This window comes from Homo sapiens, chromosome 5, assembly GCF_000001405.40.
Source record: "Homo sapiens chromosome 5, GRCh38.p14 Primary Assembly".
NCBI lineage: Eukaryota > Metazoa > Chordata > Mammalia > Primates > Hominidae > Homo > Homo sapiens.
The window spans coordinates 3477058-3494555 of record NC_000005.10 but is presented as its reverse complement, the minus strand read 5'-3'; the positions used below and the strand labels follow the sequence as shown (position 1 = coordinate 3494555).

Sequence of the window (17498 nt, the reverse complement as noted above, 5' to 3'; positions counted from 1 at the left end):
TATTCATTGTTCTGTAGTAGATAAAACTTTTATACAGACCATTTTATACAGAAAATCATCAAGAATATGAAAGATCTGAGTAACACCATTAGCCAACTGGACCTAATTAATATTTAAATAACATTTTATTCAAACAAAATAATACACATTATTTTCAAATGTACATGTAGCATTCACAGAGACAGTTTGTATTTCTAGTCATAAAAATGTAATTGAATAATATTTTTAGACCATAATAAAATAAAACTAGAAATATTTAAGAGAAAGATAACCAGAAAATATCTAAATATTTGGAAATTAATCAACATAATTCTAAATAATTCATGGAGAGAAGAAGTTCAAAGAACTTCAGAAATATTTTAAATAAAAAGAAAATAAGATTATGTCACATTAAATTTGTAAAATACACTTGACACATTTCTTTGAGGAAAAATATATAGCATTAGAAGTATATATAATAACTTTTTAAAAAAAGGTTTTAAATTAAGGCTCCATGCTTCTTCTTTGAGGAGCTAGAAAAAAGAGCAAAATAAACACAAATCAATGAATGACAGATCCCAATAAAAGAGCAGAAATTCATGAAATTAAAGACAGAAAAACCATAGAGAAAAATGAAAAAAAAAATCCTAAAAACTGGTTTTTTGAAATGGTCCATAAAGTAAACAAACTTGTAGCTAGATCAAGAAAGAAAAAAGATAGAAATTACACCTTACAGACATTAAAGGGATAATAAGCTGTTACAAATGACTCTACACTAAGAGTATCAACAATTTTAAAAAGTCAACTACACAAAAATATTATAAAAATTACTTCATCAAAATTAAAAACTTTGCTTTTCAAAAGTTAATGTTAAAAGAATGACATACAAATATAGACTGAGAGAAAATCTTTGTAAAACATGTACCATATCTGGCCATGGACATGTATCCAAAATACATAAAAAAGTCTCAAAACTAAACAGTAAAAAAATGAGCAAAATATTTAAACAGACATTTCACCAAAGATAGAAAAAGTTAAATGACCACATAAAAAGATATACAATATCATTGATTGACCAGTAGGGAAATAAAAATAAAACTAAGATGAGATACTGCTATGCATCTATTTGTAGGCTGGAATAAAAATAGTCACAATTTCAAGTGCTGGTGAAGACCTGGAGCAAATGAAACATACATTGCTGGTTGACATGAAGAATTATACAGATTATCTGGACAAGAGTTTGGAAATTTCTTGTAAAGCTAATGATTTATTAACCACATGATCCAGTAACCCCAACCCTGGGCATTTAGCCTAAAGAAATGTAATTTGTGTTCACACAAAAATCTGCACAGATTTATATATATATATATACACACACACACACACGTATATATATTCATATATATGTGTATATATCTACATATATGTATATATATATCTACATATACATGTAGATATGTAGATACTTTTATATATACACTTTCATATATACTTTTATTATATACATATATACTTTTATATATAAATAAACATATTTTTATATATTAGTTCTATGCTTATATGTATAAACAACTTTCTTTGTAATATCTGCACAATGGGAGCCTCCCAGTGCGCTTCCACAGGTGGATTAATTTACCAGCCCTGGCACACCCCATGCCAAGGAGCTACCCAGCAATAAAAAGGCAGGTGCTCCTGTAGGATCAGCTTGAGTGAATGTCAAGGACGTTCTACTGAGTGACAGAAGGCAGTTTCTGAAGGTCACATACTGTGTGACTTCATTTATATTCATATGATACTCTCAAACAGACAAAAGGATCATAATGATAATGATATGGTGATGTATCAGTGGTTGCTAAGCATCGAGGGTGAAGGGGAAGGTGCAGTTCTGAGGGGACGGACAGCACAAGGAAGTTCCTGTGATGTGATGGACTGTTCCGTGTTGTGGTTGTGGTGATGCTGGTACCCATCTGCACATATGCACGCCACTGTAGCGCACAAAGGCCAATCTTACTCACCATAGTTTAAACATGAAAACTAAGGAAAAAGAGACAAAACGACAAGTAACAGAGAAATAGGCAAATGATGACAATGCCACTTGCTGGGATAGTAAAATAATAACAGATCGTGCCAACGTGATAAAACACATAATAATAAGTAAAATGAATCACACTGAACATTATGTGTTATATTTAATCTTATGTAAAATGTTCATGTGAATAAAAGAAATAGACAAAGTGATAAAAGGTAAGTTCCTTTTGTCTGAAGGAGAAATGACTGGTTTACAGGCCCTTTGTGACCCTCCCAGTCTTTCCTGCCTCGGTCGGTCTTGCTGGTGTCTGTTTAACAAGAGGATTATGGATGATTTTCTCTCACTTTTTTTTTTCTAGAATTGCTGTAATGATGGAATTTAAGGGTACACCAGTGAAGTGCCTCTTATAGAAGCTCAACTTAGGACAAAAATGAAGATATTTGTGTAAAGTGAGATATGATATATGAATTAATAATTGTATAATGGACATTTTAACAGAAAACAGTAATATCAGGAAAAACTGAAGTCATAGTTCTTTATCTAAGGAGTATGTGACAAAAGCACACCTGTATTTTTTAAAATTTCAAATTAGTAGATGGAATAAAATTCCTACCTTATTGCAATAGATGTTTATTTCTTCTGGTAGGAGACAAAGGGGCACGGGCCATTTAGTGTCAGATGGCAATAATTTATTTATCAATTGCAGCTTATGTGATGTTTCAAAATGTCAGATATTCAAGAATCTCCCACTCGCAGGCTTTGGGAGCAGATACAGTCAGTATTAGTCAAAATGCACTTTGCATCCTGAGACCTCAGGGGCAGACCTGTGATTAAAACATTTTCTGAGCCACAAAACCTGCAGTGGCTACAGATTTTATTTCTTGTTAGAGGAATAAATAATCCTGCCTGGTGTTGCTGAAGTTGTACTTGGAGTGGTGCCTGCCTGTGTGTGCGTGAACACACACACACCCCACACATGTATAATGAGCTCTGCATGACCACGTCTGCCGCCCAGCGATCATAGAGCCAGAGCTGGGGACGAAGGCGTGGGAACATAAATTAATTCAGATCACCAGAATCAAAGAGTGCACAGGAAAGCATCTGTTTGGGCTAGAGGCTAAGTCTACAAAAACTAAACCAAACCAAAAACAAACAAACCCCCCCAAAGCACAAACATGGGCACCTTCAGGAAGTTCAGTGTCGGGTCCGAAGGGGAAATCGCTGGTTTACAGGCCATCTGTGACCTTCCTGGCCTTCCATTCCTCGGTCAGGCTTGCTGGTGTCTGTTTAACAAGAGGAGTGTTGTGACCCATAATTGCGGCAGAGCCCCAGCAGGTTGCGAGTGGCTTTCTGAGCCGGGCGCCCAAGCAGCCTCCATCTGCTGCAGCCTCCCGTGCCTCCCATGGGGCAACTGGGCTAATTTTTCAGTCAATTAGCAGAGGGCTGCTTTTGTTCTGCCCGCTCACCCCCTGGGCTCTGCTTACACTCGAGCCGGCGTTCAGATGAGGTGGGTTTGGAGAAGCATATTGTGTTGGTTTTTTTCATGACCCTGTGACATTGTCGGGCAAACGTTATCTCGGTAATCTCAGCGATTTGCTGAAAAGCTGGGCCGGGCTCCACTTTCATCGCTGTTTCTGAGTGAGTGAGTGTGTGTGTGTGTGTGTGTGTGTGTGTGTGTTGTGTGTGTGTGTGTAGGGGGGAAGCTAGGAATGAACTGTTTTAGATAAGCCATGTATTTTATAACTCTGTATGTCTTGTCTCAAGTTTATTTATTAAAAAAAAAGAGTCACCGTAACTAGCACAAGGTGGGGGTTGAACTGATGTGGAGATTTATTAGGTAAAAAAGAGTTAATTTATTCAAACCTGCCAGAAATGGTTTAGTTTTTGTCAGTCCTAGAAGAAATTGCAGATCCAGCCTTGGGGACTTCTGGACAGGAGGTTATCTAAGTCTCTGAAGCCCTCTGGAAAGTTCAGGGGCCTTAGTCTCTTCTTGACTCAGTTTCCCTGGCCAAGATGGGAGGGAACAGGGTGTGCGGGGCAGTCGGCTTGCCTAAGAGAGCCCACAGGGATGCAGACCTAGGCTCCCTTCCCTCTCCTTGCTGCACGGTGGGGAGACCCCAGTGTGCTTCCCCAACTTCTCCTGGCAACCTAGATTGCCAGCACTTTGCCTTTTCCGAAATCACCCTGCAGGGAAGGAGTCTGAAGTGTTTTTACTGAGATATTTCTGCATTGACGATGCATCTCATGTGGGTATCACACAGACAGCAGCCTTCTCCTCTTAAAGTCTGTGATTCTAAGTCATGCTTTGTTTCCCATTTTCCTGCAAAAATAAAAACTATCCTTTCTATTAGGATTAAAAACAGTTGGAGTCCAACATAGAGTCTGGATTTTCATTTTTCCAAGAAAATACGACCAGACAAAATCTACTCCTGAAATCTGCCTCCCTCCCTGGCCAGAGGTGTATGGTTTTTCCACTGCCAGATACGTGTGATGTGGCTTCCTCTAATGTCTTGGAATGGTCCAGCCCGAGTGTTTCCTGCAGGCCGGTCCGGGCTCCCTCTGCCCTCCCCATGGGATTTAATCCCGAGAGCCTCCAGGCCCGGCTGAATGGGTTAGGGTCCCTGCCCCACGCACCACCTTGCTTCGAGCCTTCCTGCTGGTGTCAAGTGGGTTCTGCTTCTCCCACCTTTCATCTGCCCAGCCTCTGGGCTGGATCTTTCTATAGTTAATAAATATACTTTTTCTCAGTGTTAAGCAATAAAATATTCACTGGGTCTGAGCTGGGGTTAACAGATTTCTGAAAATTTCATTGCGTGACAGCCTGTCCTGCATAATCCCCTCAGCTGTCTCATGTTCCGGGGCAGAAATGATCTTATGTGTCACTCTAATAGTCTAGAATTACACTTGTATCACTGTCGCCGGCATATGGGGCTGTGTATACCCCTAGGCCCAGCTCCCTCTCTTTCATGGCTTTTAAAATGATAGCATTTGGCAAAGCCAGCTCCGACAGAAAGTGCACTCTTTCCAGGGCGGTGACAAAGGGGCCACCAGAGGCCTGACCGCAGCGGCCAATCGCGGCGCTCTTGACCGGGTAATGAGAGGGGCTCCTCGTCTTAATAACGCCCAGTGCCGCAGGAGAGAGCCGGCCTCCACTTAATTATACAGTCCTCATCTTAAGTGCTCTGGCCACCCGGGGCTTCAGCTGTGCAGGCCCGCTCGGGGGCCTCCCTCCCCCACCAAACATATTGATCGCTGGACAGTCGATGGGGCCTGGAGGGCTCAAGGTAGATAATGCAGAGGAAGCAATCCCCTTGCTCAGCCACTTGGAGAGGAGGGAGAGAGAGAGGCCGGGTGGGGGCAAGACAGGAGAGAGGGAAAGAGACAGAGAGAGAGGGAGAGAGACAGGGAGAGAGAGAGAGAGACAGAGAGGGGGAGAGACAGAGACGATGATAGAGACAGGGAGAGGGAAAGAGAGACAGAGAGAGGGAGAGAGACAGAGATGATGGTAGAGATAGGGAAAGAGACAGGGAGAGGGAAAGAGACAGGGAGAAAGGGAGGGAGACAGAGATAGAGGGAGAGAGATAGGGAAAAAGGGAGAGAGAGGGAGAGGGGGAGAAAAACAAAGAGAGGGAGAGAGACAGCGAGAGGGAGAGAGAGAGATAATGATGATAGAGAAAGGGAGAGGGAGAGAGACAGGGAGACAGAAAGAGAAGGAGACAGACAGGAAGGGGGAGAGACACAGAGACAAAGGGGGAGAGAGAAAAATAGGGGAAGAGAGAGAAGAGGAGATGGGGAGAGAAGGGTGTAGAGAGACAGAGATGTGGGGGAAGAGGGAGGAACAGAAAGGGAGAGAGAAAGACAGGAATAGAAAGAAAAGAGGAGAGAGACAGAGAGAGACAGAGAGAAAGGGAGAGCGAGAGAGTGAGAGAGGGGCAGAGAGGCAGAGAGGTGGGATGGGGGTTAGAGTGAGCGTGCCAGGGCTGTAATAGGGCAGATGGCACATGTGCCCAGGCATCAGCGTTATGGGATGCCCCCAATTTTTTTTTCTCTGCTCAAAGCCATTTATTTAATTGAAATGGGGAGGGGGGATGATAAAAAGGGGAGGGAAGGAAAGTTGACAGTAAAACTAGCAGGGCACCCAATTTTTAGAACAAGAAAGGAAGACATTCCAGAGAAATGGAACATAGGCCAGGCCCAAGCGTTTCCAGCTCTGTGATAACATGGGCAGCGGGAGAGACCTGTGTGCACTGGCTGAGGGAGAGTGCAGAACACAATGTGTGATGATGAAGAGGCCTTTGTCACTGTCCCCAGCGGTGACAGCTGAGGACTCAGGGCGATGTCCACCAGCCCTGGGGCAGACCGTGGGGCTACAGAGGCCTGTGTCTTCTCTGCCCTCCCCCTTCCTCCCCTCTCTGCCTCCCTGGGGGTTCAGCTCCCTCTCCAGAGGGCAGACTCTGTGTTCCTGTTCAGGGAAGCTGGAGCCCACTGGAGCTTGCCGTTGAGTGTACGCTGTTGTTCTGAATGAAGCCAAGGCAGGTCTACCTAGAGAGGCTGATTTTGGGTTGGATGGTCTTGCACCATTGGTCCTAACATGTTAAAAGGCTTTGCTGTCATGAGAAAACACCCTGAGAGTAGGTCTGGCCAAAGGCCCGCGCACTGAGCGCGTTCACTCTGGGTATTGGGTGGGAAACACAGTGACTCTTTGCAGAAACAAGTGCGTATCTCAGCAGTTCCTCAAGGTCAGCCTTTCTTTGCAAGAAGGTGCCATGTTCTGGATGCCTGTTCATCGAGCTGTCTCTTGCTAAGCTGCATTTTCGGAAGTTGTAGCCTGATACCTTCTCATGGCGTTTGCTCTGCTGATTCAGTCCACGGTGATGTCTGTGGGTCCCCACATCACATCAGCTTTGAGCCACTGCTACCGTCTCTTTTCTTCCAAGTCGGTAGAGGGCTAAGTTCCCCGGAGAGTCAGTGTCTGGTCCATGCTGGCTGGAAGCTGCCAGACAGTGCCTTTGGGTGTCATCCAGAGATGATGTCCTGCTAAGTGGTGCAAAGCCACTGCTGATGTTTGTTAGAGCTTTTGGACAAAAGCAGAAACAAAGACATAAACAAAAAAACAACAGTGACAAAATGCTGTACCCAGCATGCATGCTCCATGTCCATGTTTCCTGGTGTGGGTTGGAGTTGCCCTCACTGACCTGGCCAGACTTAGACAGTGGAGGCTATACACTCACAATTGATTTACAAAAATTACGGTGAAATTCACATAGCATAAAATTAGTCATTTTAATATTTCTATTTATTTATATATTTTTGAGTTAATGTCTTGCTTTACCACCCAGACTGGAGTGCAGTGATGCAGTCGTGGTTCACTGCAGCCTCATTCTCCTGGGCTGAAGCGATTCTCCTGCCTGGATCAGCTGGGACTACAGGCATGTGCCACCATGCCAGGCTAATTTTTAAATTTTTTGTAGAGATAGAGCCTACCTATGTTGCCAAGGCTGGTCTGGGCTCAGGGGTTCCTCCCATCTCCACCTCCCAAAGTGTTAGGATTGCGCTGCTTTCAGAAAGAAAGAGAAGAAAAGAGAGGGAGAGAAGAGTGTAGAGAGACAGAAATGTGGGAGAAGAGGGAAGAACAGAAAAGAGGGGGAGAGACAGAAAGAAAGGAGGAGAGAGAAGGGAGAGAGAGAGATAGAGAAAGTGAGACAGAGTGAGTCAGGGAGAGCACATGCCTCTCGTTCAGTTGTGGGCTGCTATGCCCGGCCACAAATTTAATCATTTTAATGTGTACAGTTCAGTGGCATCTAGTATATTCACAGTGTTATGCAAACCTCACCTCTATGGAGTTCCAAAGCCTTTTTCATCATCCCAAACTAAACCTCTCTGGCCATTAAGCAATTTCTCCTCATTTCCCCCTCCCTCAGTGCCTGGCTACCTCCAATCTGCTTTCTGTTTCTATGGATTTACCAATTCTGGATGTTTCATGCAAATAAAATGATACAATGTGTGCCCTTTTGAGTCTCGTTCCTTTCACTCAGTGTATGTTTTTGAGGTTTATCGTGTTGCACCGTGTATCAGTACTTCTTTTCTTGCCCAAATTTTATTCTGTTTTATGGATGGAACACATTTTGTTTACCCATTCATCAGCTGATAGACATTTCATTTACTTATACCTTTTGACTACTCTAAATACTGCCTCTGTAAACATGTGTGTACATGCCTTTGTTTGAGTACCTATTTTCAACTCTCTTGGGTGTGCACCTAGCAGGAGAAGTCCTGGATCATATGGTAATTGATATGGTTTGGCTGTGTCCCTACCCAAATCTCATCTTGAATTGTATCTCCCATAATTCCCACCTGTTGTGGGAGGGAGTTGGTGGGAGGCAATTGAATCATGGGACCAGTTTCCCCCATACTGTTCTCGTGATAGTAAATAAGTCTCACGAGATCTGATGGTTTTGAAGGAGAAACCCCTTTCACGTGATTCTCATTCTCTCTTGCCTGCCACCACGTAAGATGTAACTTTGCTCCTCATTCACCTTCTACCATGATTGTGAGGTCCCCCAAGCCATGTGGAACTGTGAGTCCATTAAACCTCTTTCCTTTATAAATTAACCAGTCTTGGGTATGTCTTTATCAGCAGCATGAAAATGAACTAATACAGTAATTCTGTATTTCGCTTTTTGAGGAGCCTGGAAGGGAATATTGATAGCCTCCCACCTTGCCGGCTCTTATTAAGGATAGACTTCTGCAGTGTTTCCCTGAATGCTCTCAGGTCAGTGAAAGGCCCCATCCACTCGCACTGCCCAGACGCAGACTGAGCTGTGGCTGTTGGCTCTATTTGGCGTCAGCATTTAGGTGTAGATTCCTCAATCCACTCCAGGAATAAATTAACTTCTTGTAGTCCTAGGGCCTGAGAAAATTAGACGCTTGCACAGTGGCAGATTCACTACCTGCCTTGTGATGCTCTTCTAAGAGTTGTGTGTTGAGGACGTGGGCATGGGAGGGCTGTTCATGGCTTGTGTCACTAAAGGCGAATGTCTGTGTTGGAAAGCCAACAGGAACAGAGCCTGTAGGAACTCACAGCAAACACTTGCATTGTAAAGTTAAGGATGCATGCTGAGGCACAATTTACGTCAAGATACAATCCCCACAGCCCCAGGATAGCAGTGTAGCTCTGCTAGGCTGATGTGCAGGATTTGTACTATGGCCCTTAAGTCATTAAAATTTTCCTGCAATCTGGAGGATTTTGTAGAGTGGTTTGATTAGCTGAATTTCCCCACCCGACGGTTAGAATTATATCATTATTTAATCATAAGAATCATAACTCTGGCCAATTTAATTGTGGTGTCATGATTAGATTTTAACAGGTGCCTGTAAAATTCAAACTTTCATGCCTTCAGATGCTGAAGATTAAACTATTGTGCCTAGCCGTTTTATCAAATGAGACCTTGCTCTTACAGCCGTTGCAGAGTGCATGCTGTTTTTTGGCTGTGTCCTGCTGAGATCAATGCTGAAATTTTTATGCATAAAAAGAAAGTGATAGCCTAGATACAAAGTGTGACAATACCATCATGAAGGCGATTTTAACCAGCAAGCTAGAATGTGCACTTCAGATGAGTGTCCTCCCTCCACACTGCCTCGCAGGCAGTCTCTGCCTTGCTCCGGGGTCACAGCCCAGATGCTCCCAGTGTTTCCAGTTTTCCTCTTGGAATTGCCTTAAATTCCATAGCACCTCATTACCTTTGAGGATGTTTTAGACTCTGAAAAATACCAAACTTTCTGATTTAAGATGGTTGAAAGGGAAGTTTGAGCAACTTAATAGAATGTGCGGTGTGTGTGCACATATGTGTAGTGCATTACGTGTGTGTATTTGTGTATAGTGGGTATATGTGTATATATGCATGTATAGTGTGTGTATATGTGTATGTACAAATGTGTGCACATGTGTAGTGTGTGTATTATGTGTATTTGTGTATAGTGTGTATATGTGTATTTGTGTGTACTGTGTGTATATGTGTATTTGCATGTGTGTGCACATGTTTAGTATGTGTATTATGTGTGTGTATTTGTGTATAGGGTCTATAAATGTATATATGTCTGTATAGTGTGTGCATATGTGTAGTGTGGGTATTATGTGTATATGTGTGTATATATGAGTGTATAGTGTGTGGACATGTGTATGTGCATTGTGTGCATGTGTAGTGTGTATTACAGTGTGTATACATGTATATATGAGTGTATAGTATGCGTATATGTGTATGTGAAAGTGTGCATATGTGTAATGTATTATAGTGTGTATATGTGTATATATGGTGCATAGTGTGTGTATATGTGTATGTGCATGTGTGTGCATATGTGTAGTGTGTTACGTGTGTATAGTGTGTGCATATGTGTAATGTGTGTATTATGTGTGTGTATAGTGTGCATGTGTGGTGTGTGTATTATAGTGTATGAGTGTATAGTGTGTATATATTTGTATGTGCACATATGTGCATGCAGTGTGTATTATAGTGTGTAAACATGTATAGATGAGTGTATAGTGTGTATATGTGAATGTGTGTGCATATGTGGTGTGTGTATACATGTCTATGTGTATATACATGTATATAGTGCATATATGTGTACATGTATATATAGTGTGTATATATGTGCATGTGTGTGTACATGTGTGTGCATATGTGTAGTGTATTATGTATTTGTGTATAGTGTGTATGTGTGTATATATGTGTGTATAGTGTGTGTATAAGTGTATGTACATGTGTGTGCATGTGTGTGTTGTGTGTACACATGTGTATCCTGTGGATAAAAGAATGATGCATCCTGGGTCTGACTTTTTGTAGCTCACCCATGGGCAGAGTGGCCCCCAATTGTCCCTGAACATCAGCACCAGGAAGCAGGTGGGCCAGGGGAGGCACCACAAGCCACTCTCCTCAACTTCCATCACAAGGAGCCTGGTGCAAAATAGGCAATCAATAAATGCCTGCTGTGTGCATGAATATGAGTGCCTGCAATGCATTTGATACACAGCTAACAAGTGTTACCTTCAGGATGTTATTTCTTTAAAACTGTCTTGATACTTTACAACCAAATCTTGTGTAATGATAAAAGTACAGATATGTGTAAAATAACTAGTCAGCCCTATCCATCTCAATAGCCAAGGTAAACTCATTGATGAGCCGAAAAGTGCTAGGAAAATATATCAATTGGTCGCTTTATTCAAATTTTGGATTTGGTTTTATGGGAGAAAAAAATTAAACTTAAAATATAGAGTTAGCTTGTTTTTTTTTTTTCATTTTGAGAGAATCTAAAAGAACAGAAATCTAGACTTTCTCCTTTGAAAATCACGCAGCTTTTGTGGGAAAACCACAGATCACCCTCAATGAACCAGGGACCTTTCCATATGAACACACGCATGTGTGGAGACATCTTCCCTCCACCAGCCTCCTGGGCACACGAATGTTGCCAGGGAGGCGCCATGAAATCAGAATAGATGAAGACTGTAAAGATATTCTCTCACTTTAGCTCTTCCTTTTATGTCGGCTTCATTAAAGATGCTTTTAGTGTTTATCCAGGATATTTACCTCAAAATACTGAGGGGAGGCCGGGCGCAGTGGCTCATGCCTGTAATCCCAGCACTTTGGGAGATCGAGGCGTGCGGATCATGAGGTCAGGAGATCGACACCATCCTGGCTAACATGGTGAAGCCCCGTCTCTGCTAAAAATAGAAAAAATTAGCCGGGCGTGCTGGCGGGCACCTGTAGTCCCAGCTACTCAGGAGGCTGAGTCAGTAGAATGGCGTGAACCCGGGAGGCGGAGCTTGCAGTGAGCCAAGATCACGCCACTGCACTCCAGTCTGGGTGACAGAGTGAGACTCCATCTCAAAAAAAAAAAAAAAAAAAACAAAAACAAACAAACAAAAAACAACTGAGTGGAGACCTGCCCCAGCTTTATAAATTGTTTTGTTTTCATGCAAATCATACTTAGGTTAAGACTTCTGTTTTAACTGTAGGGCAGAGGAGTTAAAATCTCAGAAAAGCTGAGAGCAAGTTACTATAGGAGCAGAAGTGTGGCAGGCACACCTGTGAGTGCTTGTGTGTATGCATGTGTATGTGGGTGTGTGTGTGTGCATGTGTGTGTGGGAACACTGCACAATTCAAAGCAACACCTGATCAATGAGAGTATAAATGGTGAACAATACAGAGGGTTTGGCCCAGGATTGGGTCGGAAGAGTCATGGTTTCAGCTGAGCATCAGTGAATGTCAGTGATAGGACTGAATTGTGTCCTGGCAAAACTCATGCCTTGAAGCCTTAACCCTCAATGCGACTGTTTCCAGAAAGAGACCCTTTAAGGAAGTTATAGCATGGGGCCTTACTCAGATAGAACTGGTGTCCTTATAAGAAGTGGAAGAGGCACCCTTTGAGGACATAGCGAGAAGAGGCCATCTGCAAGCCAAAACAAGAGGCCTTACCAGGAACCTAACCCTGCCAGAACCTTGACCTTGGACTTTCTAGCCCCTAGAACTGTGAGAAAAAAAAAATCTGTTGTTTAAACACCCAGCTAAACTGTTGTTTTACCACCCAGTGTGATAATTTTTTTTTTTCTGACACAAAGTCTTGCTCTGTCACTCCAGCCTGGAGTGACACTCCAGCCTGAGTGACAGGCTGGATTGCAGTGGGGCGATCTCAGCTCACTGCAACCTCCACCTCCTGGATTCAAGCGATTCTCCTGCCTCAGCCTCCTGAGTAGCTGGAACTACAGGCGCCCACCACACCCAGCTAATTTTTTGTATTTTTAGTACAGACAGGGTTTCATCATGTTAGCCAGGATGGTCTGGATCTCCTGACCTCTTGATCAGCCTGCCTCGACCTCCCAAAGTGCTGGGGTTACAGGCGTGAGCCACCTCTCCCAGCCCGGGTGTGATGAGTTGATATCACAGCCTGAGCAGACTAAGTCAGTCTTGTAGAAGGTATGATGGAGATAGTAGCTGTGCTAGACACACCTAGGTATGCTTCAGCATAGATTCAGCCTTACCTACCAATAAAGTCACCTGTACTTCAGGAGCTGGCAGAATTTGTCTGCACACACCTCTGAAGACAATGCATTCTGATGAATACACATTCCAGGCAGTGCTCTTGCTTTCTGACCTCGTCTGACAAGCTGAATTCAGTGTCTTGGCATGTGCCCCCTATTGCTTTATAACAAAGAACAAGGTACTCCTGAGGTCATTTTGGCTCCTTCTGAACCTCGAGAAGTGTTACCTTCTTAGAAAGAGCATGTGGGCACTTTTAAAACACACTTCCTGAAAGGCAAGAGGCAGTCGTGGGCCTGTGTATGTGCAGCCTAATGTGGTGGTGCCTTTTATGGGTCTGAGAGGAGCCCCTGTCAGTATGATTTTCATGACTGCTTAATACATTGAGTCACAATAGGGATGTGATGCCGCTGCACAAGTCTCGTGGCTTTGAGGAGACAGAATTACAGACCCCAAGTGTCTGTTTCATGATCAGCGAATGTGGGATTTGGACGGCCCTCAGAGATGAAGGCTTGCCCAACGGCCTTATTTTAATAGATGAAAAACCTGTGTCGTAGCTTAACTAAGTGCACTGCCTTCTGTCCCAGCTAACCAGTGGGGAAGACACCCAGATCTTGGCTTCTGACGGGATCTTTATTTTTATTTTTATTTTTATTTTTTTTTATTATTATACTTTAAGTTTTAGGGTACATGTGCACATTGTGCAGGTTAGTTACATATGTATACATGTGCCATGCTGGTGCACTGCACCCACTAACTCGTCATCTAGCATTAGGTATATCTCCCGATGCTATCCCTCCCACCTCCCCCCACCCCACAACAGTCCCCAGAGTGTGATGTTCCCCTTCCTGTGTCCATGTGTTCTCATTGTTCAATTCCCACCTATGAGTGAGAATATGCGGTGTTTGGTTTTTTGTTCTTGTGATAGTTTACTGAGAATGATGATTTCCAATTTCATCCATGTCCCTACAAAGGACATGAACTCATCATTTTTTATGGCTGCATAGTATTCCATGGTGTATATGTGCTACATTTTCTTAATCCAGTCTATCATTGTTGGACATTTGGGTTGGTTCCAAGTCTTTGCTATTGTGAATAATGCCGCAATAAACATACGTGTGCATGTGTCTTTATAGCAGCATGATTTATAGTCCTTTGGGTATATACTCAGTAATGGGATGGCTGGGTCAAATGGTATTTCCAGTTCTAGATCCCTGAGGAATCGCCACACTGACTTCTACCTTATACAGCTGTGCAAACTTGGGGTCCCCTAGTTCCTGCTGGACAAATCTACTGTAGCCTGTTTGTAGCTAATATCCATCTACTGACCCATCCACATCAGCTGTCTGAAATCAGAAGACTGTACCCTTGTAGATGGCAATAGCAAGTTCTAAACAAAATACTCATTTACCACTTTTTGTGTCCACCACAGGCATATCAAAGACTTTTTCTACAAAATGAGGAAGACATTATTAATCACTATGTCTTGCCCTCTGTTTCCAGATCCTGGGATCCAGAGCAACAAAAAGACCTTAATTTAGTTAACATCTTTATGAATCTATTGTAATTCTTGTGTTAAAAATTGTGTCATGAGGCTGGGCACAGTGGCTCACATCTGTAATCCCAGCACTTTGGGAGGCCGAGGCGGGTGGATCACGAGTTCAGGAGATCGAGACTAGACTGGCCAACATGATGAAACCCCGTCTCTACTAAAAATACAAAATAAATTAGCTGGGCATGGTGGTGCACTCCTGTAGTCCCAGCTACTCGGGAGGCTGAGGCAGGAGAATCACTTGAACTGGGGAGGCAGAGGTTGCAGTGAACCGAGATCGCGCCACTGCACTCCAGCTTAGCAACAGAGCGAGACTCTGTCTCAAAAAAAAAAAAAAAAAAAGGTGTCATTAGCCGTATAAAACAATGTAAATAAAAACCTCTAATAATTGGCATCAAAATGTTTACTTTTCAGTTTTAGAAAGAAAGCATAATACTTTATAACAAAACCATTTGGATTGTTAAATTACTGGAAATTGCTAGTTAAGTCAGTTGCTTATTATATGAATATTTTGGAAGAATCTCACAAACTAGCCCCTGGACTATTTTACATTGTCAAAATAACAAGAAAGTAAGGTTAAAGAGAAACAAATAAGTCAATCTTGTTGGATATACACTTGAAAGTTGTACAGACTCTGTCTGAAGTAATCAGGATGAACTGCCATTTCAGGCACTTGGTGATGAAGAGAAAGCACGATTTACATTCTGTTCCACTGAATGTAAATCTGGATTCTCTGTTGTATTTGTTCAGTTGTCCAGTGAAATAAGGGGGTTGATGTGCCTGGCAGTAAAAAAATATATATTTTTTAAATAGAGGGATTTTATAGAAAACTTTTCTAACTAAAAAATTTTTGTCATTGATTCTGTTTATGTGATGGATTACGTATGTTGAACCAGCCTTGCATCCCAGGGATGAAGCCGATTTGATCGTGGTGGATAAGCTTTTTGATGTGCTGCTGGATTCGGTTTGCAAGTATTTCACTGAGGATTATTGCATTGATGTCGCAGGGATATTGGTCTGAAATTTTCTTTTTTTGTTGTGTCTCTGTCAGGTTTTGGTATCAGGATGATGCTGGCCTCATAAAATGAGTCAGGGAGGATTCCTTCTTTTTCTATTCTTTGGAATAGTTGCAGAAGGAATGGTACCAGCTCCTCTTAGTACCTCTGGTAGAATTCGGCTGTGAATCTGTCTGGTCCTGGGCTTTTTTTGGTTGGTAGGCTATTAATTGCTGCCTCAATTTTAGAACTTGTTTTTGGTCTATTCAGGGATTCGACTTCGTCATTCTCAGCAAACTAACACAGGAACAGAACACCAAACACCGCATATTCTCACTCATAAGTGGGAGTTGAACAATGAGAACACATGGACACAGGGAGGGGAACATCACAACGCTGGGGCCTGTCAGGGGGTGGGGGGCTAAGGGGGGGATAGCATTAGGAGAAATATGTAATGTAGATGAAGGGTTGATGGGTACAGCAAACCACCATGGAACATGTATACCTGTGTAACTAACCTGCACGTTCTGCACATGTATCCCAGAAGTTAAAGTATAATAAAAATAAATAAATATGAAAGTCAGAAAAAAGAAAAAAAATTATCCCAAAATATATGGAACACTGTAATAAATTGGTCAGATCTAAATTTCCAACGAATACCAACGTCAACACTATTTTTGTACTTTTGCGAGCTGGAAACAAATTTGTTTGTCATGATGAATTACAGGAGGCTTTGTATTGACTTTGATGGTGATGAAATAAAGCACCAGGCAGGAGGGAACAGTGAGGATGCAGGGAGACCTTTGAGAGAGGCTGGAACTCTCAGTAACAAAAAAATTAGGAGACAACATTTAAGATATTGGAGATTCACAGTAGCATTTAGGGAACTGAGAATGCACAGTAAATGATTTCTTATAGGCAGGCAGTACTCTTTCGTGTGCCATAGATAAATCAAGGCTGGAAGAGGAGCATTGCTGAAGGTCTACCTTAAGCTCCTGTGATGTGCTTAGAGATAGTGGCCTCAGAGGTCTCCAGGTCCTGTCGCAGGGAGCTCATCACAGTAACAGGCACAGACATGAAAGCAGATGCTCACCACTTGAAAAGGGGTTTGCATAGAGATAAATTGGAAGGATAGCTAAGTTAAAGAGGCATATGTTTCTGCTTCATTACTGTATTTTTCTCATTCTGATTAGAAACAGTAATAAAGTAGTTCCCTTTTGCATTCTCTTGCACCAACTTTTGGAATTTCACTGTTGAAAGCAACTGTTTCCTGAGGGCACCTTCCATCCTTTCTCAGCTTCTGTTTCCAAAACTTTGCAGCCAGTTAAGGTGGATGGAAGGTGGTGATGAGGGTGGTGTGTATGTCTGTGTGTGTGTGTGTGTGTAAGGAAAAGACTTTGCCTTGCAATTAAACAAGATGGGCGGCAAGTCTGAGATGTCCCCCAAGACTAGTGCAGGGACAATGGTTTTCGGTTCTTAGTTTGTCTCTGTTCCCTGGTAGGGCTTCAGAGGCAGATGGCTTCTAGAGAACACTGGGGAGAGGGAACTCTTGTCAGTGGAATTCCAGCTCCAGTAGAGAGCTTCTGTCAAGCAAGTGAAAGCAGGCCTGGCCAGCTGCCCTCAGGGGACCCCGTGGGCTGAGCGAAGACCACACTGTCTTTTTTTTTTTTCTTCCTCTTTATTGAACATTAACTTATATTCCCCCCACCAAGTTTCTATAACTGTGTGCCCAGATTCTTGTATTTTATTATTATTATTATACTTTAAGGGATCTAGAACTAGAAATACCATTTGACCCAGCCATCCTATTACTGGGTATATACCCAAAGGATTATAAATCATGCTGCTATAAAGACACATGCACACGTATGTTTATTGCGGCACTATTCACAATAGCAAAGACTTGGAACCAA

The 17498-nt window shown here is 42.6% G+C and overlaps 1 long non-coding RNA gene across 1 annotated transcript in view, besides 1 other annotated feature; it reads left to right on the top strand.

Moving 5' to 3' along the window:
- The window catches only part of LINC01019 (long intergenic non-protein coding RNA 1019), a 118943-nt gene that overhangs the window by 41539 nt on the left and 59906 nt on the right, over window positions 1-17498 (top strand). The gene's annotated exons all lie outside the window — the stretch shown is intronic.
- Window positions 3346-3846: an enhancer, noted in NCBI's record as "H3K4me1 hESC enhancer chr5:3490824-3491324 (GRCh37/hg19 assembly coordinates)". NCBI's record gives its function as "activates a minimal SCP1, AML or CMV promoter by ChIP-STARR-seq in primed H9 embryonic stem cells {active_cell/tissue: H9 hESC(primed)}" and the evidence as "EXISTENCE:reporter gene assay evidence [ECO:0000049][PMID:30033119]".